General features: G+C 55.4%; 1 protein-coding gene, 1 long non-coding RNA gene and 2 other non-coding genes across 10 annotated transcripts in view, besides 13 other annotated features; 1 reads left to right on the forward strand and 3 right to left on the reverse strand.

Moving 5' to 3' along the window:
- Positions 4,158 to 4,358: a silencer, noted in NCBI's record as "peak3532 fragment used in MPRA reporter construct". NCBI's record gives its function as "represses an SCP1 promoter by STARR-seq MPRAs in K562 erythroleukemia cells {active_cell/tissue: K562}" and the evidence as "EXISTENCE:reporter gene assay evidence [ECO:0000049][PMID:32103011]".
- Positions 4,963 to 16,999, reverse strand: BBC3 (BCL2 binding component 3). 7 transcript variants are annotated; one of them, XM_006723141.4, is made up of 4 exons: positions 16,921 to 16,999; positions 12,297 to 12,585; positions 10,703 to 10,893; positions 4,963 to 6,057 (listed from the first exon to the last, which is right to left on the reverse strand). In XM_006723141.4, exons 2-4 carry the CDS (start codon positions 12,568 to 12,570, stop codon positions 5,941 to 5,943), a joined length of 582 nt encoding a protein of 193 aa, XP_006723204.1. In that variant the 5' UTR covers positions 12,571 to 12,585; positions 16,921 to 16,999; the 3' UTR covers positions 4,963 to 5,940. The 7 variants fall into 7 exon arrangements, with proteins under 7 accessions (XP_006723204.1, NP_001120712.1, XP_047294562.1 ...); NM_001127240.3 differs by lacking the exon at positions 16,921 to 16,999 and adding an exon at positions 16,654 to 16,806; XM_047438606.1 differs by lacking the exon at positions 16,921 to 16,999 and adding an exon at positions 16,586 to 16,600.
- Positions 9,513 to 10,012: an enhancer, noted in NCBI's record as "H3K4me1 hESC enhancer chr19:47728631-47729130 (GRCh37/hg19 assembly coordinates)". NCBI's record gives its function as "activates a minimal SCP1, AML or CMV promoter by ChIP-STARR-seq in naive H9 embryonic stem cells {active_cell/tissue: H9 hESC(naive)}" and the evidence as "EXISTENCE:reporter gene assay evidence [ECO:0000049][PMID:30033119]".
- Positions 10,086 to 10,645: a silencer, noted in NCBI's record as "silent region_10839". NCBI's record gives its function as "represses an Ori minimal core promoter by ATAC-STARR-seq in GM12878 lymphoblastoid cells {active_cell/tissue: GM12878}" and the evidence as "EXISTENCE:reporter gene assay evidence [ECO:0000049][PMID:35858748]".
- Positions 10,140 to 10,306: a silencer, noted in NCBI's record as "fragment chr19:47729258-47729424 (GRCh37/hg19 assembly coordinates)". NCBI's record gives its function as "represses an EF-1alpha promoter that drives an FKBP-Casp9 reporter gene in an ReSE screen in K562 erythroleukemia cells {active_cell/tissue: K562}" and the evidence as "EXISTENCE:reporter gene assay evidence [ECO:0000049][PMID:32094911]".
- Positions 10,676 to 10,975: a silencer, noted in NCBI's record as "silent region_10840". NCBI's record gives its function as "represses an Ori minimal core promoter by ATAC-STARR-seq in GM12878 lymphoblastoid cells {active_cell/tissue: GM12878}" and the evidence as "EXISTENCE:reporter gene assay evidence [ECO:0000049][PMID:35858748]".
- On the forward strand, positions 11,081 to 11,160 carry MIR3190 (microRNA 3190). The gene has a single exon (NR_036158.1). It is a non-coding gene; the product is annotated as a microRNA 3190 (primary transcript).
- Positions 11,083 to 11,158, reverse strand: MIR3191 (microRNA 3191). Its single transcript, NR_036159.1, has one exon. It is a non-coding gene; the product is annotated as a microRNA 3191 (primary transcript).
- Positions 11,221 to 12,163: an enhancer, noted in NCBI's record as "NANOG-H3K27ac-H3K4me1 hESC enhancer chr19:47730339-47731281 (GRCh37/hg19 assembly coordinates)". NCBI's record gives its function as "activates a minimal SCP1, AML or CMV promoter by ChIP-STARR-seq in naive H9 embryonic stem cells {active_cell/tissue: H9 hESC(naive)}" and the evidence as "EXISTENCE:reporter gene assay evidence [ECO:0000049][PMID:30033119]".
- Positions 12,196 to 12,635: a silencer, noted in NCBI's record as "silent region_10841". NCBI's record gives its function as "represses an Ori minimal core promoter by ATAC-STARR-seq in GM12878 lymphoblastoid cells {active_cell/tissue: GM12878}" and the evidence as "EXISTENCE:reporter gene assay evidence [ECO:0000049][PMID:35858748]".
- Positions 14,496 to 15,215: a silencer, noted in NCBI's record as "silent region_10842". NCBI's record gives its function as "represses an Ori minimal core promoter by ATAC-STARR-seq in GM12878 lymphoblastoid cells {active_cell/tissue: GM12878}" and the evidence as "EXISTENCE:reporter gene assay evidence [ECO:0000049][PMID:35858748]".
- Positions 15,356 to 15,585: a silencer, noted in NCBI's record as "silent region_10843". NCBI's record gives its function as "represses an Ori minimal core promoter by ATAC-STARR-seq in GM12878 lymphoblastoid cells {active_cell/tissue: GM12878}" and the evidence as "EXISTENCE:reporter gene assay evidence [ECO:0000049][PMID:35858748]".
- Positions 15,726 to 15,845: an enhancer, noted in NCBI's record as "active region_14861". NCBI's record gives its function as "activates an Ori minimal core promoter by ATAC-STARR-seq in GM12878 lymphoblastoid cells {active_cell/tissue: GM12878}" and the evidence as "EXISTENCE:reporter gene assay evidence [ECO:0000049][PMID:35858748]".
- Positions 16,555 to 17,178: an enhancer, noted in NCBI's record as "H3K27ac hESC enhancer chr19:47735673-47736296 (GRCh37/hg19 assembly coordinates)". NCBI's record gives its function as "activates a minimal SCP1, AML or CMV promoter by ChIP-STARR-seq in primed H9 embryonic stem cells {active_cell/tissue: H9 hESC(primed)}" and the evidence as "EXISTENCE:reporter gene assay evidence [ECO:0000049][PMID:30033119]".
- Positions 16,605 to 16,874: an enhancer, noted in NCBI's record as "active region_14862". NCBI's record gives its function as "activates an Ori minimal core promoter by ATAC-STARR-seq in GM12878 lymphoblastoid cells {active_cell/tissue: GM12878}" and the evidence as "EXISTENCE:reporter gene assay evidence [ECO:0000049][PMID:35858748]".
- LOC124904731 (uncharacterized) overlaps positions 22,814 to 25,013 on the reverse strand; it is a 5,521-nt gene continuing 3,321 nt past the window's right edge. Inside the window, exon 2 of the long non-coding RNA XR_007067278.1 lies at positions 22,814 to 23,546. This is a non-coding gene — a long non-coding RNA (uncharacterized LOC124904731). The remainder of the gene's footprint in view (positions 23,547 to 25,013) is intronic.
- Positions 23,770 to 24,099: a silencer, noted in NCBI's record as "silent region_10844". NCBI's record gives its function as "represses an Ori minimal core promoter by ATAC-STARR-seq in GM12878 lymphoblastoid cells {active_cell/tissue: GM12878}" and the evidence as "EXISTENCE:reporter gene assay evidence [ECO:0000049][PMID:35858748]".

Raw genomic sequence — 25,013 nt, forward strand, 5'->3', positions numbered from 1 at the left:
TATGTCTTAGAATTATTAACATGGTTGAATTTAGGTCTACCATTTGCTTTCCATTTGTCCCACTTTTGTTCCCCTGTTTCTCCTTTCCTGCCTTCTCTTGAAGTATTTGATTAATTTTTTTTTTTTTTTTTTTTTTTGAGACAGAGTCTCACTCTGTCACCCAGGCTAGAGTGCAGTAGCGCGATCTCGGCTCACTGCAACCTCCACCTCCCAGCAAGTAGCTGAGGTTATAGGCTCCCACCACCATGCCAGCGAATTTTTATATTTTTGGTAGAGACAAAGTTTCACCATGTTGATCAGGCTGGTCTTGAACTCCTGACCTTAAGTGATCCACCCACCTCAGCCTCCCAAAGTGCTGGGATTACAGGCGGGAGCCACCTCACTCAGCTAAATGTTCTAATAAATACCCATGTACCCACTATTTTGCCACTTGCAGTTTTTATTCATCATTATCTGTCATTTTTCTTCATGTTGGTAAAGCTCTAGTTCATTCCCGCTAATGGATGTATACTATTCTGTTGTGTGATTACATCGGACAAAAAAAGTTTTTTGTTTTTTTTTTGAGACAGAGTCTTGCTCTGTTGCCCAAGCTGGAGTGCAGTGGCGTGGTCTTGGCTCACTGCAACCTCCACCTCCCGGGTTCAAGCAATTCTCCTGCTTTACCCTCCCAAGTAGCTGGGGTTACAGGTGCCCACTACCACACCGGCCAATTGTTGTATTTATTTATTATTTATTTATTTTTTATTCTTTTTGCGTCTCACTCTGTCGCCCAGGCTGGAGCGCAGTGGCACAATCTCAGCTCACTGTAAGCTCCACCTCCCGGGTTCACACCATTCTCTTGCCTCAGCCTCCCAAGTAGCTGGGACTACAGGTGCCCGCCACCACCCCCAGGTAATTTTTTGTATTTTTAATGGAGATGGGGTTTCACCATGTTAGCCAGGACGGTCTCAATCTCCTGACCTCGTGATCCGCCTGCCTCGGCCTCCCAAAGTGCTGGAATTACAGGCGGGAGCCACCACACCTGGCCCTATTTATTTTTAAGACGGAATTTTGCTCTTGTTGCCCAGGCTGGAGTGCAATGGCATGATCTCGGCTCACTGCAGACTCTGCCTCCTGGGTTCAAGCGATTCTCCTGCCTCAGCCTCCCGAGTAGCTAGGATTACAGGTGCTTGCCACCACTCCTGGGTAATTTTTGTATTTTTAATAGAGATGGGGTTTCACCATGTTGGCCAGGCTGGTCTTGAACTCCTGACCTCAAGTGTTCCACGTGCCTCGGTCTCCCAAAGTGCTGGTATTATAGGCGTGAGCCACTGCGCCCGGCCGATCTTTCTTCTTTTTTTTTTTTTTTTTTTTGAGATGGAGTCTCGCTCTGTCACCCAGGCTGGAGTGCTATGGCACGGTCTCGGCTCACTGCAACCTCCACCTCCTGGGTTCCAGCGATTCTCCTCCCTAAGCCTCCCAAGTAGCTGGGATTACAGGTGCCTGCCACTATGCCTGGTTAATTTTTGTATTTTTAGTAGAGCTGGGGTTTCACCGTGTTGGTCAGGCTGGTCTCGAACTGCTGACCTCATGATCCGCCTGCCTTGGCCTCCCAAAGTACTGGGATTACAGGCATGAGCCACTGCGCCTGGCTGCCCGGCCGTATTTTTATTGTTTTTTTTGTTTTTGTTTTTTTGTTTTTTTTGAGACGGAGTCTCACTCTGTAGCCCAGGCTGGAGTGCAGTAGCACAATCTCTGCTCACTACAACCTCCACCTGCCGGGTTCAAGCGATTCTCCTGCCTCAGCCTCCTGAGTAGCTGGGACTACAGGCGCATGCCACCACGCCTGGCTAATTTTTGTATTTTTAGTAGAGATGGGGTTTCACTATGTTGGCCAGGCTGGTCTCAAACTCCTGACCTCGGGCTCCCAAAATTTTGGGATTACAGGTGTGAGCCACCTGGCCTGGCCACCACATGGGACTATTTACCCTACCAACTGCTGTTGGATACTTAGATGGTTTTGTGCATTGCCAGTACTTGGATACTTGTATGCACCCGTGTTCCTCTAAGGGGGACGCCCACAAAAGCTATTGCTGCCACAAGGTATGTGCATTCTCATCTTGACACCATGTCTTAGTCTGTTTTGTCTTGCTGTAACGGAATTGCACAGACTAGGAAACGTGTAATGAACAGAAATCTGTCTGGGCGCGCTGGCTCACACCTGTAATCCCAGCCTTTTGAGAGGCCAAGGCAGGTGGATCACTTGAGATCAGTAGTTCAAGACCAGCCTGGCCAACATGGTGAAACCCCATTTCTACAAAAAATTAGCCCGGCATGTTGGGGCATGCTTGTAATCCCAGCTACTAGAGAAGCTGAGGCAGGAGAATCGCTTGAACCCAGGATGCAGAGGATGCAGTGAACTGAGATTGTGCCACTGCACTCCAGCTTGCGAGACAGAGTGAGATTCTGTGGGAGACAGAGCGAGACTCCCTCTCAAAAAAAAAAAAAAAAAAAAAAAGAGAAATCTATGGGCTCACAAATCTGAAGGTTGAAAAGTCCCAGATGGTGGGGCTGGTATTTGGTGAGGGCCTTCCGGCTTCCTTGTAACATAGCGGAAGGCATCTCATCTGAGACAGAGGGGTGAACTCATTCTTTATAAGGAATCCATTCCCGTGAAAACTCACTCACTTCCATGGTCATGGCATTAGTGCATTTCTGAGAGCAGAGCCCTGGTGACGTAATTATCTCTTAAATGTCTCACTTCTAAAATCTGTAGCACTGCAGGTTAAATTTCCAACCCAAGAACTTTGGGGGACACATTCGTATCCCAACACACGGTTTTATCAAATGCTTCTCCAAAGTGATTGTTGCCAGTTACCACACCCTGGCCATCCAGATGGGCCATTTCCCCTAGTGTCCCTTTAGCAGCAAGGACAGTTGGGAAAGGGTGGAGCTGGGACTGACCCTGTGTCTGTAAATATTATATAATTATATACCCTGCTTCAGAGTCCCCCTCTGTTGCCCTGGAGTGCAGTGGCATGATCATAGTTCACTGTAGCTTCCAACTCCTGGGCTCAAGCTATGATCCCCCTGCCTCATCCTCCTGAGTAGTGGGTACTATAGGCATGTGCCACCATGCCCAGCGAATTAAAAAAATTATTTTTGTGTGTGTGGAGATGGAGTCTTGCTATGTTTCTAGGCTGTTCTTTTTTTTTTTTTTTGAGACGGAGTCTCGCTCTGTCGCCCAGGCCGGACTGCGGACTGCAGTGGCGCAATCTCGGCTCACTGCAAGCTCCGCTTCCCAGGTTCACGCCATTCTCCTGCCTCAGCCTCCCGAGTAGCTGGGACTACAGGCGCCCGCCACCGCGCCCGGCTAATTTTTTGTATTTTTAGTAGAGACGGGGTTTCACCTTGTTAGCCATGATGGTCTCGATCTCCTGACCTCATGATCCACCCGCCTCGGCCTCCCAAAGTGCTGGGATTACAGGTGTGAGCCACCACACCTGGCCTATACCTTGCTTCTTTCTCTTTCTTTCCTTTTTTTTTTTTTTCTGGAGACAGTCTCCCTCTGTCGCCCAGGCTGGCGTACAGTGGTGCAATCTCGGCTCACTTGCAACCTCTGCCTCCCGGGTTCAAGGGATTCTCCTGTCTCAGCCTCTCGAGTAGTTGGGACTACAGGCTTGCATCGCCACACCTGGCTAATTTTTGTATTTTTAGTAGAGACAGGGTTTCACCATGTTGGCCAAGCTGGTCTCGAACTCCTGATCTCAGGTGATTCGCCCACCTTGGCCTCCCAAAGTGTTGGGATTATGCCCTTCCTTCCTTCCTTCCAGACAGGGTCTTGCTCTGTCACCTAGGCTAGAATGCAATGGCAGGATCTTGGCTCGCTGTAACCTTTATCTCCTAGGTTCAAGCAATTCTCCTGCTTCAGCCTCTTCAGTAGCTGGGATTACAGACACTCGCTACCACGCTCAGCTAATTTTTGTATTTTTAGTAGAGACGGGGTTTCGCCATGTTGGTCAGGCTCGTCTCGATCTCCTGACCTCAGGTGATCTGCCTACCTCCCTGCTTCTCATTGAGGTCTCTGCCAGTCAGGTATCAGCACAGGGAAAGGGCTCAAGGGCAGTGTGTGGCCATGGCCCTGTTTGCAGAAGATGGCAGTAGGAGCAACCCTTTCTACATTTACTCAACACAGCCGCTTATGACCAGCCTGGTTAGGCCTCAGGGCAGTGTGCGGAGACTCACTGTGATCTTAGCTCCAGGTGCTCCTCCAGCTGGAGAGGCAGCCTACGGCTGATCACAGTGCAAGGCCAGATGTCCCTTTCTGTCTCTGTGACGGCAGAAACGAGGTCTGTCTCATGACTCTATCCCAAGCACTTGTCACAGTGGTGCCTCTGAATATGTTACGGGTCATTCACTCATCCATTAAATATCAAGCGCCCCTACAACACCTCATGGGGACTTCACTTTTTATTTTGTTTTTGAGACAGGGTCTCACCCTGTCACCCAAGCTTGAGTGCAGTGGCTTGATCATCGCTCACTGCAGCCTCCAATTCCTGGGCTCAAGTGATCCTCCTGCCTCAGCCTCCTGAGTAGCTGGGACTACAGACACACACCACCATGCCTGGCTAATTTTTTTTATTTTTTTATTTTTGTAGAGACGGAGTTTCATCGTGTTGCCCAGGATGGTCTTGAACTCCTGGGTTCAAGAGATCTACCCACCTCGGCCTCTCAAAGTGCTGGGATTACAGGCATGAGCCATGGCACCAGGCCAAGCTTCACTTTTACCGGGAATGGGGATGATGAAGGCTAGGAGCGTCCCGGTCTGGAGAAGCCCAGGCCCCTTAGCCTTTCTTCTGATGGAGCCACAACTGCCAGGGCCCACCTCTCCCACCCACTCACAAGCAGGGCTCACAGAGCAGAGCCCCCGATCAGAAGCCTCTCCAAGGCCAGGCTGCAGGGAAGGCAAGCAGAAAGAGTATCCACTGTTCCAATCTGATTTTATTGAAAAGGAAACATACAAAAATCATGTACAAAAAAAATTAACCAAACATGTACAGAAAATTCATTCCGGTATCTACAGCAGCGCATATACAGTATCTTACAGGCTGGGCCATCCCTCCCCACTCCCAGACTCCTCCCTCTTCCGAGATTTCCCCCCCTCCCTGACTCCCCGTCTTCCCCCCAGCGCTTGGCCCTGGGGACTAAGGCTGGGGCGGCTTCAGCCAAAATCTCCCACCCCCCAAATGAATGCCAGTGGTCACACGTGCTCTCTCTAAACCTATGCAATGGGATTGATGGGGCGGGGGGCGGTCACGGGCAGAGCACAGGATTCACAGTCTGGGCCCCTCCTGGCCACCCCCTGATGAAGGTGAGGCAGGCATGCCCACCACCCGCCGGCTGGCTCAGGGAAGATGGCTGGGCGCCGGGCTGGAGCAACCGGCAAACGAGCCCCACTCTCTGGCTCCAGGAGGCTAGTGGTCACGTTTGGCTCATTTGCTCTTCACGGGCCCCCTCCCAGGAGGAGGGGGGGAAGCACCAGGGGCCTGAGGCCAGGCCCAGAGTGAAGGAGCACCGAGAGGAGAGCCCCCCCCTCCCAGTGTCACCCCTGCAGCTGGAACGGGCACCAGCACAACAGCCTTTCCTGAGATGGTGGTGGGCGGCAGAGGCGGGCGGCTCAGTCCCCACCCCCTCGGTCACCGCCACCTTCCGATGCTGAGTCCATCAGCCGTCCCTCTCCTGGCTTCTTGGCCAGGGACCCAGGAGTCCGCATCTCCGTCAGTGCACCCCAGGCTGGGCTGGGGCTGGAGTGGCTGCCCCGGCCCGCCCCCGGGACAGGCAGGGCTGGGAGTCCAGTATGCTACATGGTGCAGAGAAAGTCCCCCGCGCTGGCCAGGGTGTCAGGAGGTGGGAGGGGCCTGCCCCCCGAGTCCCTGACGTCCACCGGGCGGGTGCAGGCACCTAATTGGGCTCCATCTCGGGGGCTCTGTGGCCCCTGGGTAAGGGCAGGAGTCCCATGATGAGATTGTACAGGACCCTCCAGGGTGAGGGGCGGTGCCGCTGCTGCTCCTCTTGTCTCTGGGGAAAAGAGAGAGAAGGGGCAGTTAGCAGGGGACTGAGTATGGTGATGGGAGTGGGGATGGTCAGCTCCAGGGGCAGCGAGGCGACAGTCTCGCCCACCCTATTCCAGCTCCTCCCCCCGCCTGGGCTAATGTCCATGTCTCGGAGGTCACATCCTCATCCAGGACATGAGACCTGGAGGCAGAGGACAAACACGGAATGCCTTCAGCAGAGAGCTGGGCACCAAGCGAGTGCGTGGCACATTAGCTGTGACTGCCCCGTCTCTGTTGTACATTTGAGAAAGACATCCCCCAAGGGGCTGAAGGATGGACTGCAACCTATCCTGCCCCTCCCTACAGGGCTGGCAAGATGAGGAGAAAGGAGCAGGGTGCCCACAGTCTTGGCAGTTCTAGAACAATCTGTGGAAGGAGGAGAACTGGGAAGAGCCCCCCCCATTGCAGAGGCTTCAACAGAAGCACCTCTAGGCAACGCCGAGTGAAACCCCTGCCCCCTCTCCAGTGGCAGGATGAAAACAAGGTGGTCTCTAGGACCCTCTCAGCTCCAACATCCTAGGAAGTGGGCAGGCAGGAGGCTAGGTCCTAGGAAAGGCTCCCGACTGGTAAAAATTAAAGGCAATACTAAAAAGAGTACAGAGGCCCGGCGCAGTGACTTATAGCTGTAATCCCAGCACTTTGAGAGGCCAAGGCGGGAGGATCACCTGAGGTCAGGAGTTTGAGACCAGTGTGGCCAACATGGTAGAACCCCGTCTCTATTAAAAATACAGGCCGGGCGCGGTGGCTCACGCCTGTAATCTCAGCACTTTGGGAGGCCGAGGTAGGCGGATCACCTGAGGTCGGGAGTTTGAGACCAGCCTGACCTACATGGAGAAACCCCATCTCTACTAAAAATACAAAATTAGCCGGACTTGGTGGCACATGTCTGTAATCCCAGCTACTTGGGAAGGCTGAGGCAGGAGAATCGCTTGAACCTGGGAAGTGGAGGTTGCGGTGAGCCGAGATCGTGCCATTGCACTCCAGCCTGGGCAAGAGCAAAACTCTGTCTCAAAAAAAAAAAAAAAAAAAAATACAGGCCGGGTGCGGTGGCTCACGCCTGTAATCCCAGCACCTTGGGAGGCCGAGGCGGGCGGATTATGAGGTCAGGAGATCGAGATCATCCTGGCTAACACAGTGAAACCCCATCTCTACTAAAAATACAAAAAAATTAGCCGGGTGTGGTGGCGGGCGCCTGTAGTCCCAGCTACTCCGGAGGCTGAGGCAGGAGAATGGCGTGAACCCGGTAGGTGGAGCTTGCAGTGAGCCGAGATGGCGCCACTGCACTCCAGCCTGGGTGACAGAGCGAGACTCCATCTCAAAAAAAAAAAAATGGCTGGGCAAGGTGGCTCACGCCTGTAATCCCAGCACTTTGGGAGGCCAAGGCAGGTGGATCACCTGAGGTCAGGAGTTCAAGACCAGCCTGGCCACCATGGGGAAACCCCGTCTCTACTAAAACAACAAAAATTAGCTGGGCCTGGTGGCACACACCTGTATTCCCAGCTACTAGGGAGGCCAAGGCAGGAGAATCGCTTGAACCCGGGAGGCGGAGGTTGCAGTGAGCCGAGATTGCACCACTGCACTCCAGCCTGGGCAACAGAGCAAGACTCCGTGTCAAAAAAAAAATTTTTTTTAAGTGTACAGAGAGCTGCAATCCTCTGCCACTCCCTGTAGCTCCACAGGCAGGCTCTGTGCTAAGTGGGGACCACCTAACCTCCTTCCCTTCAGGTGCAGGGGAAGGAGAAACTCACTTTACAGAAGGTTAAATGATCCTCATCGTCCTCATGCTACCTGGTAGTGAGTCGCCTGGTACCAGCCCAGCCTCCTCAACACTCCCTAGCAACTCTTGGGGCCAGGAGATGGTGGCAAAGGGGGCACATCGGATTGGTGTAAGTTACAAAACCCACCACTGTCACACTGCTGTGGGTGCCACCTGGTGAGAAAGCTAGCAATCACCTAGTAAGGTGGATGGTGGGCAGACCACCCAGGTACCTACTCTAGAAACACAAGAGCGCACCCGGAAATATGCATGATTGGGAGAGGAAAAAAGGCAATAAATAATGGCCGGGCGCAGTGGCTTACACCTGTAATCCCAGCACTTTGGGAGGCCGAGGTGGGTGGATCACCTGAGGTCGGGAATTCAAGATCAGCCTGGTCAACATAGTGAAACCCCGTCTCTACTAAAAATACAAAAATTAGCTGGGCATGGTGGCAGGCATCTGTAATCTCAGCTACTTGGGAGGCTGAGGCAGGAGAATCACTTGAACCCGGGAGGTGAAGGTTGCAATGGGCCGAGATTGCACCATTGCACTCCAACCTGGGCAACAAGAGCGAAACTCTGTCTCAAAAAATAAATAAATAAAATAAAATCTGAAATACATTTAAAAATAGTCTGGGTGAGGTAGCTCAGACCCATAATTCCAGCAATTTGGGAGGCCAAGGCAGGAGGATCACTTGAGGCCAGGAGTTTGAGACCAGCCTGGGTAACACAGAAAGACCTGATCTCTACAAAAAAATAAAATAAAAATTAGCCAGGCATGGTGGATCTGCCTGTGGTCCCAGCTACTTGGGAGGCTGAGGCGGGAGGATCCCTTAAACCCAGGAGTTGGAGGCTGCAGGGAGCTGTGATTGAACCACGGCACTCCAGCCTGGGAGACAGTGAGACCCTGTCTCTAAACATAAAATAAAAATACATATCTATCCTAAATATCCATCAATGAGAAAATGAATAAGGATACTATGTTTATCCAACAGAATACTATGTAGCAGTGAAAATGACTTTTTTTTTTTTTTTTTTTGAGACAGAGTTTCATTCTGTCCTCCAGGCTGGAGTGCAGTGGCATGATCTCCTGATCTCGGCTCACTGCAACCTCCACCTCCTGGGTTCAAGAGATTCTCCTGCCTCAGTCTCCCAAGTAGCTGGGATTACTGGCGTGTGCCACCATGCTCAGCTACTTTTTGTTTCTTTTTTTTTTTTTGAGACAGATTTTCGCTGTTGTTGCCCAGGCTGGAGTGCAATGGCACGATCTCGGCTCACCGCAACCTCTGCCTCCCGGTTTCAAGCAATTATCCTGCCTCAGCCTCCCGAGTAGCTGAGATTACAGGCATGTGCCACCACGCCTGGCTAATTTTGTATTTTTAGTAGAGACGGGGTTTGTTCATGTTGGTCAGGCTTGTCTCGAACTCCCGACCTCAGGTGATCCGCCCTCCTCAGCCTCCCAAAGTGCTGGGATTACAGGCATGAGCCACCACGCCCGGCCTTAATTTTTGTATTTTTAGTAGAGACGAGGTTTCACCATGTTGGCCAGACTGGTCTCAAACTCCCAACCTCAAGTGAGCCACTTGCCTCCGCCTCCCAAAGGGCTGGGATTACAGGCGTGGGCCACTGCACCAGGCCGAAAATGGCTGTATTTGTTGTTTCTTTTTTGAGATGGTCTTGCTCTGTCCCCCAGGCTGGAGTTCAGTGACCCTTCATGGCTCAGTGCAGCCTCGACTTCCTTGGCTCAAGGGACCCTTTCACCTCAGCCTCCCAAGTAGCTGAGACTACAGGCCCGCGCCACCACACCCGGCTAATTTTTGTATTTTTTGTAGCAACGGGGATCTCATTATGTGGCCCAGGCTGGTCTGGAACTCCTGGGCTCAAGCGTCCTTCTATCTCCGCCTCCCAAAGTGCTGGGATTACAGGAGTGAGCCACCGTGCCTGGCTGAACATAGATGAATGGAAGCTCTTTTGCCCATATGGTGAATCTGAAGCCTAATATTGAGGGAAAAAGGAATTCTGGGGAGAAACAAAAACTATGTCATATACGCTAAGCTAAGAATGCTCCATGATTCTAAGCCCTGGTTCTGGCCTGGTAAATACGGAGTAAAAGCAACACCTGCAGGGGTTGAGAGAGGCCAACTCGAGAGATTTCCTTTGGATGCAAGGAGGGGGAAGGGATGGGGAGAGTAAGGAGCTTCACCACATGCGTTTCTGCGGTTTTGTTTGGTTTCTTAATAAGCAAGCAATGCGGGTGTAATGTTCAAACTGAACAGAGCTGCCTGGTGGGCGCATGATGTTTGTGATTTCCCATTCTCTGCTGTGGGCTTCGAATATTTGTTTTAAAAAATCGAGGCCGTGCCAGGGGCTGGGGGGCGGGGCCTCCCGCGGGGCGGGGCTGCGAGCCCACCCCTGCGGTCCCCGGCCCGCCCCGGCGCCCGGGAAACTGTGTGGCGCTGCGGGCCGCGCGAGAGGGACGGCAGGGGGCGGGCGCGGCGCGGCTGCTGACTCACCGGCTATAAATAGCCCGGGATATATGAGCCGCGCCGCCCAGCGCCGCCCTCAGTCCCCGCGGCCGCGGGCCACGGGCGCGCAGCTCCACTCCTCGGCGGCCTAGTCCCTGGCCCTGGCCCTGGCCCTGGCTCGGGCTCCGGCTATGCCAGCCGCGGCGCGGAGTCCTTGGGCGGCTCTGCGGGCGCGCGATTCCCCCCCACCCACTTACCCCCCACCTGCCTGTCCGCGGAGCGACCCAGCCGCGCAGGGCAGCAGCTGCCGCACATCTGGCGGGGGCCGCCTGCCGCCCCCTCCTCCGGCGGAAGTCCCACCTGCCGTCTACCCCACCCCCAGCACTCACCCGCCGCTCGTACTGTGCGTTGAGGTCGTCCGCCATCCGCCGCAGCTGGGCCCCGATCTCCCGGGCCCACTGTTCCTCCTCCCCGCGGACTCCCGGGGCCGCCTGGGTGGGACCGCCCGCCAGAGCCCCCGGGGCGCTGGGCACGGGCGACTCCAGGTGCTGCTCCGCCAGCGAGAGCGAGGGCTGAGGACCTTGGAGAGGCAGAGGGGCGCGGTCAGCACCCACCACCCCTCCAGGCCTCGAGGTGTCTCGGCCTGCTCCCCTCTTTCCCAGCCACTGCTCCCCGCCTCATTTCTAGTGATCCCATCGCTAGTGAGTCAATTTCTCAGCTTCTCCTCCACAGGCACCAGAAAGCAAGAAGTACCTGGGGACGCCGCTCTGGGGTCACCTGTCTGGCCAGCTACGTCCCCACGGCCCTTGTCAGTGTGGAAGGTAGACGGCCAGAGAGGTGACCCCGGGGGTGGTCAGGCTTAACGACCTCTATTTTCCAAAGGGGCCACATTTTGCCTTTTCCATGTGACAGGCAGGGAAACTGAGGCCCGCCCTTAGGGAGTATCCCAAGGTCACACAGGGATACAGTGACTGACCCCACCCAGATCACAAGCCTCAGGTCTCCTGCCCTCTCGTGTCCAACCACAGGGAAGCCACACCTCCGGATGTGGCAGAGGCCTAGAGACCAGAAGGCCAGAGACTGTGGCAGCTTCAGAGCGCGGGCCTGGGGGGCTGGGACGCGGGAGATGCCTTCCTGCCCCCCCCCCCCCCCCACTTCTGAGCGCCCTAGGAGGCTCCTGCCCTCCCGTCCCACCAGGTCCTGGCCTGAGGGTTCCCTAAGGCCTACAGCCAGGGCCTCAGTTTCCACATCTGTGACCTTGGCCTTGAAATCGGTGTCCCCTTCCAGGGCTTCCAGGAACTGAGTTAGGGAAGTTTTCTCTTTCCTCGCTCCCCTTGGGCTGCCGGGACAAGATGGGGGATGGGAAACCAGGACACACTTTCCCTAGAGCGCCTGCCGGCAGGGATGGGGCTCCACGGGCACCACAGGGTTAACAGCCCATCAGGCAGGGGACCTTTAACCCTTCCCTCCCCAAGACTCCCCCACCTCCCCGAGGGGACTTCCCAACACAATGGCCCCTCCCCCTCTCCTTCCTCCGCCGGGACTGCTGAGGACAGCCCCTGGCCAAAGAGATGCAAATAAAAGCAAAAGGCCTCTCGACCCCTCCCCAGAGGCCAGAGTTGACAGTCCTCCCGCTCGGCCCACTCTCCCTGCAACAGGAATCCTCCAGGGGGTCTAGAGGACCCAGACTGGGGGAGGGGAGCTGGGATGCAGCTGTTGCCCCAGGCCCGGAAGAGACAGTGGGCTGCAATTCGGGGACTGCAGTCAGATTCCAGGAGGGACTTCCCACTTGACCTCCCCCTCCACCCCCAGCCTCCGTCTTCCTGCTTCTTGCAACACAAAGACCACATTGGCCACACCCTCCCAGTGGCCCGGCTGGGCCCGCCACCTCCCCCCGTCCTCTCCCACTTCTCCAGTTCCTCCGAGTCTCCAGCCCTCTCTCTTCCCGGCTCCTATCACCCCGGGGGCGGGGCGGGCACTCACCGTCCGGGCGCGGGCCTCGGGGCCGGCTGCGGGGACCCCCAGGCCAGCGGGAACCCCCCAGGGCGGCGGTGACGGCGGGTGGGGCGGTGGGGGCGCAGAGGTAGGCAGCGGGCAGCAGGGTGGGGGCGGCGGGGGCGGCAGCCAGGCCGGGCTCGCAGAGGCCGCAGGACACTGCCGAGGGCACCAGGCGGCCGAGCGGGAAGGGGCGCGGGCCGTCGCGGGCCAGGCCCTCTACGGGCTCCGGGGAGCTGCCCTCCTGGCGTGCGCGGGCCATGGCGCTCCCTGGGGCCTGCGGGACACGGGAGGAGGAGCAGGTCAGCAGGGAAGTACCAGGGCCCACTGTACCTCCAGCCTACCCGGGGTTAGGACCCAGATGGAGAAGAGTGGAGGTGTGTGTGCATGCGGAGGGGGTGACGGCCCCACAGAGACACGCCCAGCCGGGGGATGACACCACCGGGTCCTGGCTGGCCTGGAGAGCCTCCCGTGCATACGGTGATGGGCACACAGGAGGGACAGGGGGCACAGGACGGCTCTCACAGCAAGGACAGGGCTCACACAGGACGGATGGAGGGGTCTAGCAGGTGTGTGTATGAGGGCTGTGACAGTCCCACAACACAAACTCACTCCACTTGGGACTCACAGCATGGGCTGGTGGGGACAACTTTCCCAACACAGCGACGGGCACACAGGGAGGGCAGTGAGGCACAGCGAGGCCCCCACAGCACACACACAAGGACTCACACGGGACTGGCCAGCCTGACCGCCCACCCCACCTCCCACTTGCACACAAACACTGAGATGGCCCCAGTCTCGGACATCACTACTCAGTACACACAATACACACACACCCCCGACCAAAGCAGGAGCATCCAGACAGACCATCACAAGCACTCTACATACTGCGCACACTGGCTGGCACAATCCATCCCCACACATCCAAACTGTCAAAGTCTCACACACTGACCCACTGTTGATATGCCCAGGGGCACATGCAAACACAATGCAGCCTTTGCAAACACAAACACACACACACAAGCTAGGCACTGCCTCAGTTCCCAAACATGCCCCTCTCCACACACACACACTCACTCCAGAGATAAGACCTGCACACCTCTGGACTCACATATCAACACAAAACAGACACCCACGGACACACATACATCAACACCCCCAAAACACACCCACATGTCACCAACTCTCAGGACACACGTAGATCAGGCACACACAGACACATGCCATCAGACCTCAACACACCACCAGACACCAACCCACCCTCCTCACGCAACCCTCAAACATCATCACCAACTGTCAGCAACACACACACACACACACCCTACAGCTAACTCTAATCCCACACAGCCCAGCAGCACACACACCTAGCGCACCCACAGAAAACACTGGTCTCACGTGACTGACATAAACACTACACACACGCAGCCCACATGACACACATGAGCCAGCCGATCACAGTGACAAGCCCCTCAGACCCAACACACACACACACACACAGGCTCAGACACAACCCCATCCAGAGGCTGCCAGCAACACCCACCGTCTACACTGCATAGACCCCACAGATCCTGGGTCCTCAAATCCCAGACGCTGATGCCAGACACACAAGCCAAACCCAGACTGAAACAACCCCCCACCACACACATACATACACACACACACTCACACCTGACAACTCACACAGACACCTGGACAGAAAACAGACATTTGCATTTAGCAGGCGCAGCATCACAAACGCTGGGCAAAAGACACATGCCCCGGAGATACAGAGACGGCCTCAGCCAAGACAGAAACACACAGGCAAGACACAAGCACACATATCGCACGCTCGGGCAAGACACACACATAAACACACAAACAGCTCACTCCAGCAACACACACACACTACAACCTCCACACCCCAGCACACGCAGGCACCACAGACCCCCAGTATCATCCCGGAACAGCACACACAGACAACTCTCACCGACAACACACGCAGGTCCACCCACCCCACAAGCAGGGCACCCACAGACAGAACCCCACACAAACAGGCGCGGGGACTCACGCAGACACCCCGACGGGTCAGAAACCCCAACATTCCTCTGGATCGACACCACCACTCCCTGCAGAACCCAGCACAAACTCGGAGCCAGACACGCGCACACACCCAGGCGAGACACCTGCAGATCCACAACCCCGCACACGCGCGCTCCCACGGCGGTCCCAGACACCCCCCTCCGCTGTCACAGCCCCCCCCACCGCCGCCACGTGCGCCCGCCCCGCCCGCCAGGCGAGCGCGGGGCCAATAACCGGCTGTTGCTGGGGCGCAGCCCCCGCCCGCAGGAGCCGCAGACTCCACGGCCCGCGAGCCGCCCCCCGTCGCCGCCCCCAGCGGGCGCGCGCCCTGGGTGTGGCCGCCCCTCCGTGCCGCCCCCCCGCCCCTCCCGGACTTTGGGGGCTGGGGCACCCCTGGGGTCGACCCTCTTCCCCGGGGCCGCACTGGCCGCCAGGGGGCGCTGCCGAGCCCGCACCCCATTGTTTGTAAACAAACCCGCCAGACCGCCGAGGCACCTGTGCGCCCAGACCGGCGCCCCAACGCCGAGCCGCCTCTCACCCGGCGACCCTGGCCCAGGGTCCCTCGCGGGGTTTGGAGAGGCGCGGTGTGGGGAGGCAGGGCGCCCACACTGCTCTCCGCCTGCACTCCTGTCACCTCCTCCAGGGAGTCCACCCGGCCTGGCCGATCGCCGCCGGAGAGGATTCGGGGCGCGCACACTCACCCCGGGGGCATGAACACGCCGGAGGGGGCGGCGGTGGGGGGCGGGCGGCTTCCTTCAGGAGGGCGCGCCCGCCGAGCGCCGCTCTCCGCGGCGGCTGCTGCTGTGGCTGTCGCTGCTGCTGCCGCTCTAACTGCAGTGGCGGCTGCTGTGGCTGTGGCTGCTGCTGCTCCCCGGGCCGCAGGCGCGTCCGCGTCGTGGCCGCTGCTGGGATCGCTGGTGCCGCCGCCGCCGCCGCCAGGCGCCCGCTCGCATGTGGCTCGCGCCGCGTCTCAGGCCGCCCGGCGGATCCCGGGCCCGCTCCAAAGCCGCCCCGCCCCGCCCCGCCCCGCCCCCGCCCGGCGGGTCCCACGCCCCGCCCCCGCGTGACGCTACGGCCCCGCCCGCCCGCCGCGGACAAGTCAGGACTTGCAGGCGCGCGCCGCGCCCCCCCCTACCTCCGCGCCGGGGGTTTCCCTGCAGCGGGGGACGGGGCAGGGCCTAGCCCAAGGCAAGGAGGACCCAGGCGCTGTGCGGCGGGGTGTGGGGAGATCGCCCAGACACCGGGACAGTCGGACACACACACTGACTGGGACCCACAGATCCACACCCCCAGCGATGCGTACACAGACCGACCGACGGGCGTTCCAGGGTCCACAAAGTCACGTGCAGGCAGAGCCCAGAGGATGTACTCACAGACACAAGGCCACAGTCTCGCAAATCCACACCATGGACAGGGGCATGAGCACACACACTCACATACTGATGGGGCTCACACTTACACACACCCAGACGGAAATGCACAGACTCACTAACAGGGTCCCCTGGACAAGCAGACGGACACAATGACAGGGCCACACACAGTTGCAGAAACACCCACACTGATGATCACACCTGGGCCCACAAACTGTGTTCACAAACAACCCTACCGAACAGGCACCCACACCACACACACGGTGGTGCAACCACACAGACATAGGCGGAGTGCTTATCAGGAAACACAAACTTGCTGATAGGCACAGGGGACACACACATACACACAGACACCTGTTACAGGGATACCTGGATACACGGCCAAATCCAAATCACACTCCCACAGGGACATACACAAATGCACTCACACAATTTCACAGCTAACACATTAAAACTATCAGAAAGTGACATTCGCCCGACACGGTGGCTCATGCCTGTAATCCCAGCACTTTGGGAGGCCAAGGTGCGTGGACTGCCTGAGGTCAGGAATTCGAGACCAGCCTGACCAACATGATGAAACCCCATCTCTACTAAAAATACAAAATTAGCCGGGCGTTGTGGCGCATGCCTGTAATCCCAGCTACTTGGGAGGCTGAGGCAGGAGAACTGCTTGAACCCGGGAGGCGGAGGTTGCAGTGAGCCGAGATAGTGCCATTGCACTCTAGCCTGGGCAACAAGAGCAAACTCCGTCTTAAAAATAAAAATAAAGGAAAGAAACTGACATTCAGAGACACAAACCAAATCAGACATAGAAGAAACTGACCACCCACACATGTCACAAAGTCACACCTGTGACAGCTTCTTGCTAACTGGCCCACTGCACACACGTCGGAGCATGCACACCTGGCCACACTCACCACAAATCTGGCAGGGGACCCACGTCGTGGAAGCAGCCCTGGGCACCTGGCATGGACATGCCTGGGCAGACCCCATGCCAAATTTCATCCTGTCTCATAGCTTTCCATTCCGTTTCTTTTTCAGTTTCTCATTGTTACTTCCTGCCCTGCTCTGGTTTGGTGAGTTTTGTCCTTCCTTTTTCCAAAGCCGTGGATTCCTGTCTCCTCTACACTTTCCATCCTTACTGGGTCTCACCCAATCGCAATCGCCTCACCAGAGTGACTCACCTTCCAGTGCCTAGTGTGGGGCTGGCTGAGTAAGGATGTCAGACTTCTCAAACTTGACTGCCTCCAAGTACACACTCTTAGCTCCCCCAAGAGATGCAGGTAATCTATATCTCACGTGAAATCTCCCCATTTGCAACATTGGGAACTCCTCAGCTTTCCTCCCTCTTTCACTTTCCCTCCTCTTTCGCTTTCCCCGATTATTCATTGTCCCTTCCTTCTTCCTGGTGTTTTCCAAACTGTGGGTCATGAGTAAACCATGGATTATGACATATGACATCACTTACATGGATCTTACTTTTTTTTTTTTTTTTGAGACAGAGTCTCGCGCTGTCGCCCAGGCTGGAGTTCAGTGGCATGATCTCGGCTCATTGCCACCTCCGCCTCCTGGGTTCAAGCAAGTCTTCTGCCTCAGCCTCCCTAGTAGCTGGGACTACAGGTGTGCGCCACTATGCCCAGCTAATTTTTGTATTATTGGTAGAGATGCGGTTTCACCATATTGGCCAGGCTGGTCTCAAACTCCTGACCTCGGGATCCGCCTGTCTTGGCCTCCCAAAGTGCTGGGATTACAGGTGTGAGCCACTGCACTCAGCTTTTTTTTTTTTTTTTTTTTGAGACGGAATGTCACTCTGTTGCCCAGACTGGAGTGCAGTGGCACGATCTCAGCAAACTGCAAGCTCCGCCTCCCAGGTTCAGGCCTTTCTGCCTCAGCCTCCCCAGTAGCAGGGAGTACAGGCGTCTGCCACCACACCCGGCTAATTTTTTGTATTTTTTAGTAGAGACAGTGTTTCACCATGTTAGCCAGGATGGTCTCGATCTCCTGACCTCGTGATCTGCCCTCCTCGGCCTCCCAAAGTGCTGGGATTATGGCGTGAGCCACTGCACCTGGCCCAGCCTTTTTTTTTTTTAGATAAAAGATTCACTCTGTCGCCCAGATTGGAGTGTAGTGGCACAATGGATAGCCTTGTGGTACAATAGCCTTGCAGCTTCAAACTCCTGGGCTCCAGAGATCCTCCTGCCTCAGCCTCCCAAGTAACTGGGACTACAGGTGTAAACCACCACGCCCAGCTAATTTTTATTTTTTTGTAGAGATGGGCGGTCTCGCTATGTTGCCCAGTCTGGTCTTGACCTTATGGGCTCAAGCAAACCTCCTGCCTCCGCCTCCCTCAGTGCTGGGATTACAGGTGTGAACCACCATGCCCGGCTGACTTAATGCATTTTACTCAGTAAGATGCATTCACATCCCAACCAACTTGCGCTTTACTGAGATGTATTTAGACACAAGAATATTCACTCTTTTTAGGTGTATGGTGTGTAAGTGGTGATAAAAGTACACAATTTTGTATTACCACAACTTCTACCTGCAATTTTACTGACCTAGACAAGAGGTTTTGTTGTTGTTTTAATTGAGACAGATTCTGGCTGTGTTACCCAGGCTGGTTTCAAACTCCTGCGCTCAAGCGATCCTCCCACCTCAGCCTCCCTAGTAGCTGGGATTATAGGTGTGCATGACTGCTTTGACCAGAGTTAAAAAAAAATACACCACAGGCCGGGCATGGTGGCTCACACCTGTAATCCTAGCACTTTGGGAGGCCGGGGGACGTGGATCACCTGAGGTCAGGAGTTTGAGACTAGCCTGGCCATCATGGTAAAACCCCATCTCTACTAAAAATACAGAAATTAGCTGGGCATGGTGGTGGGTGCCTGTAATCCCAGCTACTCGGGAGCTTGAGGCAGAAGAATTGCTTGAACCCAAGGGAAGGAGGTTTCGGTGAGCCGAGATCGCGCCATTCCATTCCAGCCTGGGCGACAAGGGCAAAACTCCGTCTCAAAACGCCAACAACAAAAATACACTACAGGCTGGGCACGGTGGCTCATGCCTGTAATCCTAACACTTTGAGAGGCCGAGGCGAGTGGATCACTTAAGGTCCGGAGTTCGACACCAGCCTGGCCAACAGGGTGAAGCCCCGTCTTTACCAAAAATATAAAAGTTAGCCAAAAATTGGTGGCGCACACCTGTAGTCCCAGCTACTCGGGAGGCTGAGACGGGAGAATCACTTGAACTCAGGAGGCAGAGGTTGCAATGAGCAGATATCGTGCCACTGCACTCCAAACAGGGCAACGGAGCAAGACTCTGTCAAAAAAAAAAACACACTACAAAATACAATTTTGAGGCCGGGCATAGGGGCTCACGCCTGTAATCCTAGCACTTTGGGAGGTCGAGGTGGGTGGATCACCTAAGGTCAGGAGTTCGAGACCAGCCTGGCCAACATGGTGAAACCCCGTCTCTACTAAAAATACAAAAATTAGCCGGGCATGATTGCGGTGCCTGTAATCCCAGCTACTCAGGAGGCTGAGATGGGAGAATCACTTGAACCCGGGAGACGGTGGTTGCAGTGAGCCGAGATTGCACCACTGCACTCCAGCCTGGGTGCTGAGCCAGACTCCCTCTTAAAAAAACAAAACAAAATATAATTTTAAAAAATTATGAAGTCAACGGAAAGTAATATTTTGTGGAAATTTTATTGATGTATAGTGAATACATATTAGGTTACAAGGAAGGTATTTTTCTGGCCATAGATCGAGTTCAAAGACGTTTGAGAAATGCTGCTTTAGACACTTATTAAATGAGATCACACTGGAAGTCATTTAGTGCAGTATTGGACATATAGTAAGTGCCTAATAAGTGTTAGCTATTATCACTTGTATAACTAATTATTGTCAGTATTTCCTGTTGCTTGACACTGATGAAGTTGAGAGAGGGGCAGTCTCTAGCCCTCTGCTAGCTCATGGTCCCACCTGTACCTCACACCTCTCACTCACTGATCAATGTCCAGACTGCCCATTGCAGGGTAGATACTCGGAGGCCAGATGTACTGGAATGTTCTTTTTTTTTTTTTTTTTAAGACGGAGTCTCGCTCTGTCACCCAGGATGGAATGTGGTGGCCCAATGTCTGCTCAATGCAACCACCACCTCCTGCGTTCAAGTGATTCTCCTGCCTCAGCCTCCTGAGTAGCTGGGATTACAGGCACCTACCACCACGCCTGGCTAATTTTTTTTGTATTTTTAGTAGAGACGGGGTTTCACCATGTTGACCAGGCTGGTTTCGAACTACTGATCTCAGGTGATCCACCTGCCTCAGCCTCCCAAAGTGCTGGAATTACAGGTATGAGCCACTATGCCCAGCCTGGAATGTTCTCTTCTTCTCCTCCTCCTCCTCCTTCTTCTTTTTTCTTCTTCCTCCTCCTCCTCCTCCTCCTTCTTCTCCTTCTTTTTTCTTTTCTTTTCTTTTTTTAGTAAAGATGGGGTCTCATTATGTTGCCCAGGTTGGTCTCAAACTCCTGGGCTCAAGTGATCCTCCCTCCTTGGCCTCCCAAAGTGCCTGGATTATGGTCATGAGGCACCATGCCCAGCCCCGGAATGTTCTTTATTTGTTTGTTTGTTTGTAGAGACAGGGTCTCACTATGTTGCCCAGGCTGGTCTCAAATTCCAGACCTCAAGCAATCGTTCCTCCTTGACCTCCCAAAATGCTGGGATTACAGGTGTGAGCCACCACACCGGCCTATAATGTTCTTTTGAGAAGAAAATGAGTGTGAAGGATAGTGGGAATCTGGCTTGGTGGCTGGAGGTAGAAAAGATGGGGAGAGGCCAAGAGTCTATTTGGCCATAAGCGTTATCACTAGTCAAAATCCTCCCCACAGCTGGGCGTGGTGGCTCACGTCTGTAATCCCAGTATCACGGAAGGCCGAGATGGGTGGATCACCTGAGCCCAGGAGTTCCAGACCAGCCTGGGCAACATGCGGAAACCTAACTGGGGAGGCTGGGGTGGGAGGAACGCTTGAGCCTGTGAGGTCGAGGCTGCAGTAGGCTGTGATCGCACCATTGCACTCCAGCTTGGGCGACAGAGCGAGACCCTTTCTCAAAAGCAAAACAAAACACCAGCCTGGCCAACATGGCAAAGCCTCGTCTCTACTAAAAATACAAAAATTAGCTGGGTGTGGTGGCACATGCCTGTAATCCCAGCTACTCTGGAGGCTGAGGCAGAAGAATCGATTGAACCCGGGAGGCGGAGGTTGTAGTGAGCCGAGATCGCGCTACTGCACTGCAGCCTGGGCAACAGAGCAAGACTCCGCCTCAAAAATAAAAAACCGACCCCCACCCCCAAAACAACAACAACACAAAACCCTTGTGGGCAAAGAAAAAGAAGTTTGTGGGTGGGTCAAGGGCTGCCTCTTTTTTTTTTTTTTTTTTTGACAGGGTCTTGCTCTGTTGCCCAGGCTGGAGTGCAGTGGCATGATCACAGCTGATGATCACAGCTCACTGCAGCTTCCACCTCCTAGGCTCAAGCAATTCTCCCACCTCAGTTTCCCGAGTAGCTGGGACTACAGGTGCACACCACCACACCTGGCTAATTTTTAAATTTTCTGTAGAGATGAGGTCTCACTGTGTTGCCTACCCAGGCATGTTTCCAACTCCTGGCCTGAACCCATTCGCCTGCCTTGGTTTCCTAAGCCCGCATGCAGCCCTCATGAAAGACTGTGGGCTGTGAGTCCAGATGGCCTGACTTAGAATCCCCTCTGCCACCTGTGGGTGATGTTGGGGAAGTGGTCACAGCTCTGTGCCTCAGTTTCCTCATCTGTGAGTTGAGACAGCACAGGTCCCTACCTCATAGGATGTGCAGTCAGAATGTGAATAACAATAAAACATTGGGCTAGGCACACAGTGGCTCATGCCTGTAATCCCAGCATTCTGAGAAACTGAGGCAGGAGGATTGCTTGAGCCCAGGAGTTCCAGACCAACCTAGGCAACATAGTGAGACCCCTGTCTCTACAAAAAATTTAAAAAATAATCAGGCGTGGTGGTGTGCACCTGTGGACCCAGTTACTTGGGAGGCTGAGGAAGGAGAATGGCTGGAGCCCAGGAGGACAAGACCACAGACAGCTGTGATCCCATCACTGCACTCCAGCCTGGGCGACAGAGCGAGACTCTGTCTCAAAAAAATAAATAAATAAAATAAAAAGACCCTGTTTTATAAATAAATAAACAAAAAAAAATTAAACAATAAAAGTACTGGGGCATGATGGATGTTTAATATATGTTACTTGTCATTACTATTACCAGTGTGGGAGTCCGTTGACTCTCTGAGAATCCAAGCAAGGAAACCTCTAGCTAAGGACCCCTCCGCCTCTTTTATGAGAACAGGGTCTCACTCTATCACCCACGCTTGAATGCAGCGGTGTGATCTTGGCTCACTGCAACCTCCGCTTCCCAGGCTCTGGTGATCCTCCTGCCTCAGCCTCCTGATTAGCTGGGACTACAGGCCTGTGCCACCACGCCCAGCTAATTTTTGTATTTTTAGTAAAAATGAGGTTTCACCATTTTGCCCAGGCTGGTCTTAAACTCCTGGGCTCAAATGATCCTCCCACCTCAGCCTCCCAAAGTACTGGGATTACAGGCATGAACCACTGGACCCGGCCTGGACCCCTATTTTTTTTTTTTTTTTTTGAGACGCAGTCTCACTCTGTCACCCAGGCTGGAGTGCAGAGTGGCATGATCTCAGCTTACTGCGACCTATGCCTCCCAATTCTCCTGCCTCAGCCTCCTTCCAGTTCAAGCGATTCTCCTGCCTCAGCCTCCTCCCAGTTCAAGCGATTCTCCTGCCTCAGCCTCCCGAGTAGCTGGGACTACAGGCATGTGCCACCATGCCTGGCTAATTTTTTTTTTTTTTACTTTTTTTTTTTTTTTGAGATGGAGTCTTGCTTGCCCTGTCACCCATGCTTGAGTGCAGTGGTGCGATCTTGGCTCACTGCAACCTATGCCTCCCAGGTTCAAGCGATTCTCCTCCCTCAGCCTCCTGAGTAGCTGGGACTACAGGTGTGCACCACCACGCCCGGCTAATTTTTGTATTTTTAATAGAGACAGGGTTTAGCCATGTTGGCCAGGCTGGTCTTGAACTCCTGACCCCAGGTGATCCACCGGCCTAGGCCTCCCAAAGTTCTGGGATTACAGGCCGTGAGCTACTGAGCCCGGCCCAGGACCCCTATTTTTATGGGGCCAAGATGCCTGCATTCTCTTCTGGGAAGGATCATCAGCCCTGTGTTCAAAAGCCATGATGCCTGAATCCAGTTTGGGGAGAGACAGCAAGTCCCTGTGTTCATGGGGTCAGGATGCCCAGGTCTACTTCTGGGAGGAGGACAGTTCGTGTCTATTTGCACAGATGCTCATGTTGAGGCTGGGGTCTCAAACTAGTGGTCCGCAGGCCGTCCACGAGTGCGTTTTCTTGACTCTGTGCAGTTTCGTATTTTGAGTGTTAATGCCTCTCCCACGGGCGCACAGCACAGAGGAACGATAACTCCGACATGGGTTCAAATGATGACCTTGAGCAAGCAGCTTCTCCGCTCTGTGCCTCAGTTTCCCTCACTGTCCAAAAGGGATCTGCACAGGCAGGACCAAAAATATTGTGAAGATAAAATGAGTTCGTATTTGTAACATACTTAGAATAGTGCCCGGAGGTAGTAAGCCGGATGTGAAGTGCTGGTGAGACAAAATAGAGCTGGTTGACTGCAGACCTAAAACCGTCTCGTCTCCAAGATCTTGTCTGCCATTCTGGGCAAGCAGATTTCGCAGCCTGGGGAGAGGGAGTTGGGAAGGACTTAACTTTTCACCGCAGGGCCTGAGTCCTGGCTTTCCGCGGTGGGGAAGGGGTCTCCCGGGTCCCCTCGGTGTGGCCGGCCCTGCAGGCCGGGAGGCTGGACCGGGGCCGGGTGGGGGCTGGGCGGGGGCGCGGGCGTCCGCAGGGTCCGAGCGGCCGGCGCGCGTGTGAAGGTTACCGCTTCCCGGCGGGGCGGGGGCCGCGCGCTGTTGCTGGGGTCTGCGGGGCCTGCCTGCGCCCGCGCCCCCCCTCCTTCCCGGCCAGCCAGTGAGCGGTACCCGCCGCCGTTGCCAGGGGAAACTCGCCGCCCCGTTACCCAGCAACAAGCCTGGCCCAACCAGGCGCGAGGACCCCCCAGGCCCCGCCCGCCGCTGCCCACCGCGTGCCCAATGCCAGGCGGGCAGAGCCGGCCCAGCTCCCGGAGACGGCGAGCGCGCTCATTGGCCACCGCCGCGTCCGCCCGGATCTGGGGGAGCCCTCGGCGCGGGGGGCGGGGAACCGGGCCCCGGGGAGCTGCCGGGCGCGCGGCCTGCAAACCTGCGACCGGCTGGGGTGATACCCGGGCTGTGCACCATCCACCTCCCTGCTCCCCTGTCCCGCACTCTCGGGTGAGGATGGGCAGTTGGGATGGGCTGGAAACGGGGTTGTGCATTCTGTTCCTACCCCCAGAATGGCACCCTGGAGTTGGCCTTGTGCCACCAAGGGTCCCCCTCCCACAAGGAGACCTGAGCATCCTGACTCCGTGAAGACAGGGACTGGTTGTTTCCCGCTCCCCCGCTCCCCGCCCCGCAGGTATCGTGGCTCTGGAACATAACGGTTGAAGTTCCCTCCCAGAAAACAACCCAGGCGTCCTGGCCTTATAAAAATAGGGTGTCACTGCACCCCCAAAGGACCCAGGCATGCCTGGCCCCGTGAAAACAAGGAGATGAGCCCCCTCCTCTTAGGAGATGCAGATGTCCCAGCCCCGGGACACAAGAACTCAGGGTCCCCCCAGAAGGGGACACAGTCATGTCTGATCCCAGGAAAACTAGGGCTGAACATCCCACTCCCACAAGAAACACGGACTCAGGCCTTTGGGCTCCCGACCCTGAGATGTTACAGAGCTCCTGGGCATCTTGGCCCTCACCACATTGATGCTGGGAGACACTCCTGTCCCTAACAGTCACCAGACCCTCAGGTGTCCAGTTTACCTAGGTGGGACCACCTGCCCAGCTCCAAGGTGCAGACCTGCCCACTTCCCACCCCTCTGAGCCCTTTTCCCCAGGGTCCAGGTGGTTGATCTCCCAGGACGTGGGCATCTGACTTCAGAGCCGCTTTCCTTACCTGTTGGCACCGACCCCCCACCTTGCGCCAGGGTCCCAGGCCTCATAGTGCCAAGGACCCCAGAAGTCCAAGCCCCGTGTCTCTGATTCCCCAGACACCTGGCCAAGCGACCCAGCCCCT

Source organism: Homo sapiens, chromosome 19 (assembly GCF_000001405.40).
Source record: "Homo sapiens chromosome 19, GRCh38.p14 Primary Assembly".
In the NCBI taxonomy this organism is placed as follows: domain Eukaryota; kingdom Metazoa; phylum Chordata; class Mammalia; order Primates; family Hominidae; genus Homo; species Homo sapiens.